General features: G+C 39.1%; 1 annotated feature.

Annotated features, from left to right (window-relative positions):
• Positions 1,286–1,365: a silencer, noted in NCBI's record as "silent region_12140". NCBI's record gives its function as "represses an Ori minimal core promoter by ATAC-STARR-seq in GM12878 lymphoblastoid cells {active_cell/tissue: GM12878}" and the evidence as "EXISTENCE:reporter gene assay evidence [ECO:0000049][PMID:35858748]".

The following is an 11,131-nucleotide window of genomic DNA, read 5'->3' as shown; positions in this document are numbered from 1 at the left end:
GGAGCTTCTATTTAGGGTCCAGGCACTTTGTGCCAATGACAGAATCCAGGAGCCATTCGAAGAGTCCTGTTCTCCCGCATTTGATTTAGCCAAAGTTAAATTATTTCTGCTCGAGGGCAGACACAACACCTCAAAGCGACTTAGATTGGCATGGGGTGGGGGCTACATTTTGACTGTGGTTCCTCTGCTCTCAAGAAACAAGTGGCTTATGCGAACCAAAAATATCCCAACCTCACTGAAATAGTGAGGGGAAACTTAACATATTCTTTATATTTGCTTCAATTAATCACCAAGTAAGCAGATAAAATAAATAGCTTATAAACACTAATTTCATCTAATCCTCACAATAGCCCTACTGGATCCTTTTGAATGTAATTACTCAGCATTTTCATCTTTATAGTTAATATTAATAATATCTCCCACTTCTTAGTCTTCACCATGTACCAGGCACTGTGTAAGAGACTTACAGTCATAAGCTCATTTCACCTCACCATACTAGTTGAATACAGGTTTATTTGTTGTTTATTATCTACCATGGCCACTATAAGCTTCATAAGGACATAAACTTTGTCTTGTTCACAATTGTATTCCTGTATTTGTAATTTTGTCTGGCACAGAGAAAGTTCTCAGTAAATACTTGTTGAATGCATAAATAAATTATTGAATGAGTAAGCCAATAAGCTCACAAGAAAGGTGTTCTTATCTGCATTTTGCAGTTGAGAAAACCAAGTCTTACAAAGAGTAAGGAATTCGTAAAGATTTTGTAGATCGCAAACTGGGGGCTGTCAGGTTCCAAAGTCTTGAACATGACAACACTCCCCCCCACTTTCCTGATGAGAAAACCATGGCTCTGGGAGTTAAATAGCCTGCTCAGTACCCACTAAGTATTAAGTTATTAGAACTCAGATCCAGGAACTCTGATTCTAACCAGCCCTATTTTCTCCTCATCATGTTGATGGATGGCAGGGTCAGTCACCATGTGGTTGGCATGTACAACCATGAACATTATCATTTGACAGAGGACAAGGGTAGGCAGTTCCCCCAAGCAAAACACAAATCCTCCAGTAGGAGGGTGTCATCATTCTCTGACTTAATCCTGGGCATTAGTGTTTAGTCAGCCGTGTTAGGTCATTCTTGCATTGCTATAAAAAAAATACCCGAGGCTGGGTAATTTAAAAAGAAAAAATGTTTAATTGGCTCATAGTTCTGTAAGAGCATGACACCCACATCTGCTCAGCTTCTGGGGAGGCCTCAGGGAGCTTTTACTCACAGCAAAAGGTGAAGCGAAAGCGGGCATGTCACATGGTGAAAGCAGGAGCAAGAGAGAGTGCAGCGGGGAGGTACCATACTGAAACAACCAGATCTCATGGGGATTCACCCACTGTCATGAGGACAGCCCCAAGAGGATGGCACTAAACCACTGATGAGAAATCCACCCCCATGATCCAATCACCCCCTACCATACCCCACCTCCAACACTGAGGATTACATTTTAACATGAGATTTTGGGGGAAAAATATCCAACTATATCACCCACTAAGAATGAATAGGGACCATAATGTATTATCTGGGCTGGGATAAAGCTTACTGCTCTGACAAACCATACAATTTCAGTGGTTTATCACAAAATATTTTACTTTTTAATCATGTAACAGTACAAGGTAGGTGTCATGGTGAGCAGCCAGCTTTCCTCCATGTGGAAACTGAGAGATTTAGACTCCTTCCACACTGTGGCCCCCTGGCATCCTTACGTCCTCTGTTAACAGTACAGAAGAGGAAAGACAGGGTGTGAAGAAGTCTTCTTAACCACCTTGGCCAAAGCTGGATACACCTTATTGCCCATAGACTAGTGGTAAGAACTAGTCCATGGCTCTACCAAGATGCACGTGGAACTGGGAAATACGATCTCTCCTAGGCATCCACTTTCCAGAGCCACATGGAAGGAGGAGCACAAATTTTTGATGCGCAGCCAGCATCACAGCCATTATGAGAATAGATTGGGCCAGGAAAAGATGGGAGATAGGAATCTGGGCTGCCACCTAGAGAAGGATGCATTTGAAAACAAAGCAGTGGGGAGAGGGTAGCAAAGGCCAACTTTGGCAACCTTTGGGGGTTTTGTAGACTTTTCTTCTTCAGAGGTAATGAAGGTGGAGCAAATATGTCTTTGCTGCCAATGTGGTGCACACTTGGAGCAAAGCATGCAACCTCTCATCCTAATTAACATCAAGCCACCACACTCAACAGTACTACCCAACAGGTTTCTAATTTCCATTCATGCCCACCTCTCGTTTCTCTACCTGAGTTGTAAATTATGAATCTTGCAAAATTGGACAATATCATAAAAGCTACAAGATGTATCGAGTGCCATAGCCTTCAGTTATCTTAGCTCATTAAACAGAAAAATAGGTACACTTTTTTCTCTTTATGGGAAAACAGTATCAGGTAATGTCACATAATGTTTCCAAATAGAATTTGTCTTTGTCAGCCAAGTAGTGAATAACAGGGAAACACTGAATGCTCTTTTTAAGAAATGATTTGAAATTAATTTCAATCCATTCTGATGGTTCCGTAAAAAGAGAAATATAGACTTCAGGATGTCTCTTAATGTAGATTGCTATAGTAATTTAAAAACAACAAATAATAATGAAGTAATGATTCTATCATGCTGCCATTGTGCTTGACAGTGAATAGTATATTTTTAAAAAATAAATTTGCCACTGCAATATATGCCGATGGTTAGACTCTAGGTATTGCTTTCAGATTAGAAAGAGTCATAGGATCATATTCATGTATTTTAGTAAGTATTTACTGTGACAGAGATAAGAATATTACAAATATAATTATTCACAGCCTTTCTCCCTCTCCTGCCTTCTAAAGAGGATCATTTTGTATGAGGAGTAATGGATAGGGTGGGATAATAGGAAGAGACACAGACTTGGAGAAACTGAGAGACTTATTTGACCTACACAGATGTAGACACAAAGCTGCCTGGAAAAAATCAAAAGGTCTGAGAGGTAGGAAGAAGGAGAGAAGATCTTGGCCAGAGAGGGAAGAACTGAGAACGTTTTGGAAGCTGAAATGAGTAGCTACTATGAGGGGGGTACTGTGGGAAGAGATTTCTAGTAAAGAGAAACATTCAGAAGTCTCACTGTGTGCTATGCACAGTCAGCCACCATGGCTGTCATTGTTGGAGAAGAGCTCTCCTGAACTCTCTCCACAGCAGGCCTTTGCTGCGGGGAGTGGAGCTGAGATAGTTATAATAACAGCTAATGCCTACCTAAGCTAACCTCCTATGTGCCAAATAGCAAGCAAAGCTCATGACCTACATGAACTCTTTTAATCCTTACAACAACTCCATGAAACAGCATTAGAATTAACGCTCTTTTATAGATGGGAAAACTGAGGCACAGAAGGGCTACATAACTTTCTCAGGATACACCAGCTTGTCGGTAGCATAGCTGAGATTCAGACCCAGGCAATCTGGCTCCAGGGACTATGTGCTGAACCACGATGCTTAACCACCTCTCAGGTTGTTGAAAAGTCAATCTAGTCAACCCGTAAGCCTTATGTCATATGGGAAATTGAAGATCTGGACTAAACTCTGAGTCAATGTGCACCCTTTCACATAGTATTTCCTTAAAGAACACAGTATGTAATAGTAGGTGCCAAAATGTCAAGTTGTTCATGTGCTCACAATATTAACAGCTCATTGTTTGATAAACTTTAGGAAATAAAGCTTAGGAAGTTAAAAAAAAATAAGGAATCACTCTTTTCCCAAATCTCATTAGTCTCTGTCCTGTTTTCCATAACTATACACATTTGGTAATAACTGAATAATATTGTGAATAATCCCTGCAACATTCAGACTGTCTCTTCTCTTTAAGGGCTCCATTCTGATAGATGGTCTGGCAAAGTTCTTGAAGTTAAGATCACAGACAGACTCTTGTGCCAAATCTGGAAATTGATAATTCTTAAATTGATCCTAGAATCAAGCCATTCTCTCATAGTTCATAATGGAATCATATAAAGAACACTGATCTTTAATTGAGATTAAAGATAAACCATAAGATGGGTACTTGCAGAGCTAAATGAAGTCACTCCAATCAAAAGATGGAGTCAGGTGCTTCGGGAAATGCTAATCTTACTGATGATGAACTTTGGGAGGATAAGTTGTCTTTAGCATCAAAGTAATTATTTGCTCTATTCAAGGTTGAGTACATGACTATAGAGTGGCCCTTGTGCCTTGGATCTATTTTTTTTTCCATGTCATGTATTATCACCAAGAAGTAAAGTACAGTTTTTTAGCCAGCTAAACTCCACAAGTGGTCATGACCTCCAGGATGTTTTTTCACAGACTTAGATGGGGATAAGGACTATACCCTTGTTCTTGTCCTGAAGTGAGAAGAGGACAGAATTCTGTCTTTCACAGGTTGAGAGACAGCAATGACTTGTCCTGAACAAGTAGATTGGAAAACTGAGTTTCATCAAGGGGGATCCATTAGGCTAATTTCTTAGGGGTAAATGTTGTGGACAAAATTACTATGAGTGAATTTACCAGTGAGATGTTGGCTTAAGGACTGATCTTTAGCCATGATAGCAAAGAGGCCTGGATGACCAATAGCACCAAACTAAGACAACTGCAACTGGTTCAGTCTTTTCTGGAGTCAGGGCTGCTGCCTCTATCTTAAGATAAATTGCATCAGTCATGTAGGTTACAGAACTCCTATCAGTATCAAAGAAAAGACATTACAGTTTGACATTGTCAATTTCTGAAACTGTCACACAGCTACAGGGAAAGGCTCAGTTAATTCCAGTTTCTAAACGATACAAAGCAGAAAACCAAGATGATAAATCCAAAATGCTGCAAATATTTAAAGTTGAAATATATCAGTTTTACAGACTTGGGGCCAAAATTTATGGTATGAAAAACTTCACCAAAACCTCCTTCAGAAAAAAAAAAGGTTAAAAAGCTCAGAGTCGGAAAGTTTGTCATATTTGTCAAAAAGGAAGGCAGACTCTGGTCTTTTTTTAAATGGCAGGAGTACAACTATAATAACAACAGGTAATTTTTCATTATTTGAGCTTAGTCTGTCCTACTGAGGCTTTAACTTCATTTTCTGCTCTTCATTTTCTAATGCAATTAGTATCTTATGTTCAAAAAGCCAGAAATAAATTTAACCTTTTGAGATGAATGAGTTATTTAAGCCTCCTGGATAGTAAGTCAGGAAGAGGCTTGGAAACACTGCTCTGGGCGTCTTTGGCTATTTTTATAAGGAGTGTTGCACATCTGCCTGTCCACACGGAGCCACAGGTCTCACCTCTGGGCTCTCCTCACAGCGGCCTCATGCAGCTTCATTTATCTTAGGAGGCGAAGTGTTGGAGTGGAGCCTGCCTGATTCTGGACCTGTAATTCCAAGGTGGACAGAGTCCAAGATTGTCGTTCAGTCCATTAAGCAATCCCTTTTAGCTGAAGGGGTTCATCTATCAATCTCGCTTTTCAGCCAGTAATCTGCTTATTTGGAGGTTTAATTACATTTTCAGGTCACCCAAGCGCTTCTCCTAGATATTTAATAAAATGAATCCTTATTTTATTTCTCACATGGTTTATTTTACATGGGCTATCCAATTGGGATGGGGGGAGCAATTACTTATAAAAAGATAAACAAGTGAGATTTCCACCTTCAAAGTGTCCAGAGTTAACACGGAAATTATTTGAGTCTTGGGTACAATTACGATAGCAGATTGATCTAAAACTGCATGTAGCAGCCACCATTCCTGAAACAGAAAGTCAGATATTGATTTCCCAGTGCTTTTATGACCCATTTAACAACAGGCATTTTGGGTTGGTTATTTCTTAGGGCCAGAGAGAATTTTCTAGCCAGCCTCCTTCTGAGCTCCTCTTAAATATCTTCTCTGAGAGATGGGTAAAAATTGATGTTCAGCCCTGGCCTTAAACACAAGCACATGCACACATACACACAAAACACAAAGGAGGCTGACACACCTTGCCTCTCCTAATACTATCTAAGTTAGCTTGGATGAGGGTATTTAGATATTTTCCACAATAACTACCAAACTGGGTTAGGGGAGGTCCATTGGATATGTCTGCTAACAAATTCTCACTAATTGACATCAAGCCAGTTAATTTCTATGTAATAAGTGTTGAGTGATTCAGGGCCAGCACCACCAGCCAGGGCTGGGACTATTCAAAGACCTCTACCTGTTTGGCTCTCAGAACGGAACATTTAATGTTTTGCCAAATTTTCAAAAATGTTGGGAGTAAGAACAGCGTTTCTAATCTGTAGCTCTCTGGGCTACTAATTATGCAGCAAAGGGTATAAAGAGAGCTTTACAAATCATTATTTCCATTAGGAAGGTGTTAGAACCCATTCCACCAAGGGCACCCCTCCTATTAGCGCAGCTGCTATTCCCAGGGGAGGCGGCCGCTGTGGTGCCGGTTGAAGCGGGGCTTCTGTTCTGTTTCCCCAGCACTTGGAAGAAAAACAAAACAGTCCTAATGAAAAACACATACGGGAAATGCTTTATTATTTCATCATCCTCACCTACTGCGCTCTGGCACAGCTCTGTGATTAGGAAGGACTTTTCCCTTCGTAAGCGGCCGAGTGAGGTGGTAGGAGGCTGATACTCTGTCATTTCCTGTCACATCGTTTTGGAGGAATTTGCTCTTATTTCCTCCTGGCCACATCCCCCTGACACCCATCCCTCTCTCCCCAGCCTCCACATTGGCCACGCGCCCACAGTTCAGTTGTGTTAACTTCAAAACACAGTGTTTTAAGTTGAGGGGCAAGAATCATGGAAACTCGGGGCACCAAACACAATCAACCTCTAACCTCCTGAAGCTGAGAAATAGGTCAGAGCCACCGAGTGGATCCTAACCTCCCGAGAGGGCCGAGGAGCACCACTGCACCAGGAAAACAATGGGTTGTTTTGTTTTGAGGGACTGGAAAAGGGAGTGCTGAAGTCAGTCTGAATGCTAATTCGGATTATAATCTTCCCATGTGCATATTCTTGACTTTTCACCAGAAAGGAGAGTCAGATAGCAGACATTCCCCAAATCTCATTGGATCACTAGCCAGTGAATAACCTCTTTCATTAAAAATGTCTCCATTTCTTTACTTCACACAGGGTGAAACCTGGGGTATAATATACAATGCATTTATTTGCATGCTTCTCAGCAACTCCTAACACCAAATAATCCAGGCATGGTCAAGTGGGTATGGCTACCCAGGAAATTGGAATGCATTAGCCCAGACCCAACTGGGGCCACCAATGCCTGTCTGTAGTAATATACCAGGAACAGTTCTTTTCTCTCATTACAGCTTGGCAACTTGGGAACAGTACCATGCCTTCTAATGGAAGATGCTTAATATATATTTGCTAAATGTTCGATAAGTATCTAATTAATTGGGTTGGGACTATATATCAGAGGGCAGAGGGCTAAGCCACCAAGCCCTAGTTTTGTGGCAGTGAAAAGTGGGTGCCTTCATGCCATACCATTCTGTGGGGGGTCAACACCATGTACCACCATCACTACATAAGAAGAATCCTAAAATATGGCTGTATGGACATTCTTTCTTAATTAAATTTCTATCAAACTGGCTTATAATGGTAGCTGTTTTCTAATTTCTGTTGAACTACCATCAATGGCATGGGTAATACCGTACTATTACTTAAATGGTTAATTCAATGTGTGGTGTCTTCTCAGTGAATATAAGTTGAATAGATCAATGAATAGTGGGATATTGATATAAGTACAAAGGACCTTGTGTGGGGGTCTTATGGTGAAAATTGGTCTGTGTGTAGCTCCACCTATATATATACTGTTTGTCCTGCCTAAATGTAATTCCCAATGGAAATGTAGAAATAAATCATGTAAAGTAGGTTGTCTAATGGAAAATTTTTGATGTAAGAACAAAATGATCCTCCAAAGCAGAACTGGGTCAATATGCCTACCACTAATAGACGGCATGGAAGTACGTTCAGGGTATCTGTACTTCATTTTGAAAAACTGATAAATATTATTCATCCCATCGTAGCTGATAAACACAAAAGCACTGAAAATCACGAAGATGCTAAAGTATGATTATAATGGAAATAAATAAACTTTTTTTAATGTGAAAGAGCTAAAGTAGTAAAAGTGCTGAGAAAAAAAAACCTAATTCATCAATATGGAATGAAACGTTTGACTAGAGAATGAAAGGTCTCAGCAGGCTGGGCGTCAGGGCAGGCTCCATGAAGACTTGAGACTGGGCAGAGAGAAGGGTGAGCTTCACGCCTTAGGTGAGATTCTCACTGATTAAAAAAAAAAGAGAGACATGGGTGAAGCTGCAAACCATCATTCTCAGCAAACTATCGCAAGGACAAAAAACCAAACACCGCGTGTTCTCACTCATAGGTGGGAATTGAACAATGAGAACACATGGACACAGGAAGGGGAACATCACACACCGGGGACTGTTGCGGGGTGGGGGGAGTGGGGAGGGATAGCATTAGGAGATATACCTAATGCTAAATGACGAGTTAATGGGTGGAGCACACCAACATGGCACATGTATACATAGGTAACAAACCTGCACGTTGTGCACATGTGCCCTAAAACTTAAAGTATAATAATAAAATTAAAAAAAAAGATTTTAAAAGAAAAAAAAGATTAACCCTCCCCTTTTAAAATGTACTAAAAATTTCTAAATTATATTATTATCAATGTGATTATCTATAAAAATAGCATCTTCATGTTTTCTATTTTAGTTCATAAATTTTCAAAACTGAGTTTGGGTTATCTATTTGAACAAAATATATAAATTCTGAAAACAAATTTTAAATCATGTTGTGAATATTTTAGTTAACTTTTATTTGGAAGCCATGCATAGGTTCCATCCTAAGGACTTTGCAATGTATTATCTTACATGATTCTCACAACATCTCCATGATGATAGAAAACTATTATGTCTAGTTTTCTCCTAGTCTTCTAATGCATTTTTTTAAAAAAAGTACACATGAGAAATAATACGTGTTTAAAATGACTCAGTTGATCCTTCCATGTGGGATTCCTTCATATGCTATCCAGAATATATCATATTAAGGTTAGTGTCTCTTTTGAATAAAAATTTTTTAAATAAGGATTTTTCCTCCTACCTTTTAAATTTTCTGGTCAATACTCAATTAATTGGAATATTATTCAGTCTTTTATTTCCAAACATTCTGACTTATTGAACCAGATCAAATATATTTAAGTATATATTCTAAAAATTTGCTAAAATATTGAGCCATAAAAATGAATATTTTTCACCTGAATTCCTCACTCACGCATATGGGCTAGTCTTCCCTGTATGAAGTAGCCACAACCCTATTATTTTATCTTTAATTGAATTTTAATGCTTCATGACTTACTTGAGAGGTTTCCCACCTGAAAGCCCACAGACATCTGAAATACAAGGTGAATCCAAAGGCTGTAGCTACTACATGTTCTTGAAGAACAAGTTAAAAGACCCTTTACCTGCCCACCACTTACCACTGAAAAATGAAAAAATAAGTATCACTGATTTAATGGAATGAAACGTTTGACAGTACGAATAATTCAGAAGGACAATGAGTATTTATTTGATGTATGGAAAGCTACGCATCTAGGCAACAGACAATTATTGCCAAGAAACTGATAAAATAGGAGCCATTTTTGTTTGGGCTATTACAGTGGTTTTCAGCTCTCACTGCACATTTGAATCACCCAAGGAGCTTTTAAAAAATACTGGTTCTGGGGCCATATTCCAGACCAGTTACATTAGAACTTCTAGAACTGGGACACAGGCATCAGCAATTTCTAAAGCTCCCCATATGATTACAATATACAATCAAATTTGGGCTATAGCAATGGTTCTCGAATTTTAGCATCAGAATCACTTGAAGGTTTTATCAAACTACAGCTTGCTGGGCTCAACCTCCAGAGCTTCTGATTTACCAGGCTTGGGGTGAGGGCCAAGAATTTGCATTTCTAACAAATTACCAAGTGATACTGATGCTGCTGTTCTGAGGGCACACTTTGAGAACCACTGGACTAGAGGATCAGTCTCAAGATTTGCATCCTATTAATCTGATAATGATTCAGAAGAAATCTCAGGGTTTGTTGCTGACTTCATGGTGATAGTGCACCTGATAAAATGTATTTTTACCACTTACGGTTGGTTCTTCAGTTTCAAGGGTCACATGAATCTACATATGGTGAAAGTAAACACTGGCACAGAGTATGAGATATTGTGGCTGCTAAATTGTTTCCCAAGATGTTTGGGTAGATCGTTAAGAAACGTGACTTCCCTCCACAGATTTTCAATGTAGATAGAATTGGTTTGTTTTAGAAGAAGATACCAGACAAGGCATATATCTGGTATCTTCTTCTAAAGGAGAAGAGAACAGCTGGTTTTAAAGCATGGCAGAATTTTATCTTGGATCGCAAGTTCATACCCTTCCATCACTTGGGTTTTACTGACAACTGAACTTACAAGCTCTTATTTGGAACTTGTATATTAGCCAATGCAAATTTGCTATGTGTGTGATACTAAAATTCTGATAAGCACTATTAATCAGAAACAATGAAATGCATTCAAAATTACTTGTGAGAAATTAAAACTTTTAAGAATTTGGCTTTGAAGAGTTAAAAAGTCAGATAAAGACTGTGAGTTAATTACCATGCTAATTACTGTTAATTCCTACCCAATAACTGTTTTAAGGTAGAGTCCAGGTTTCAGTTCCATTGCCATTTCTCCTGGCCATGTGCCCATCTTCTCACTGCTTCCTGGAGTACACACAGTCATAACCTAAGTGTGGAAGGATTGACCATCTCAGGTGTGCCAGTGAGTGTGGCCACCATCTCTCTGGTCTCATTCCACTCTTTCACTTCTGGTCACCTTTCGGTTCTATTTTGTAATAGAATTAAATGCATACAAAGAGATATGTTTGTCATTAATCTATATGTAGATAATAAAAGATGTTTATTGATTGTTAAAAAAAATTTTTTAAAGAGAAAAAGAGCTTGTACTCATCCAGTTTCTCATATTAGTCAATGGATACATAAAATTGAATATATCCCTGTAAAACTGCAAAACTTGTGTTCTGATTA

The sequence above is a fragment of the Homo sapiens genome, chromosome 2 (genome assembly GCF_000001405.40).
Source record: "Homo sapiens chromosome 2, GRCh38.p14 Primary Assembly".
Lineage (NCBI taxonomy): Eukaryota > Metazoa > Chordata > Mammalia > Primates > Hominidae > Homo > Homo sapiens.
This window is presented reverse-complemented; position numbering and strand designations above follow the sequence as displayed.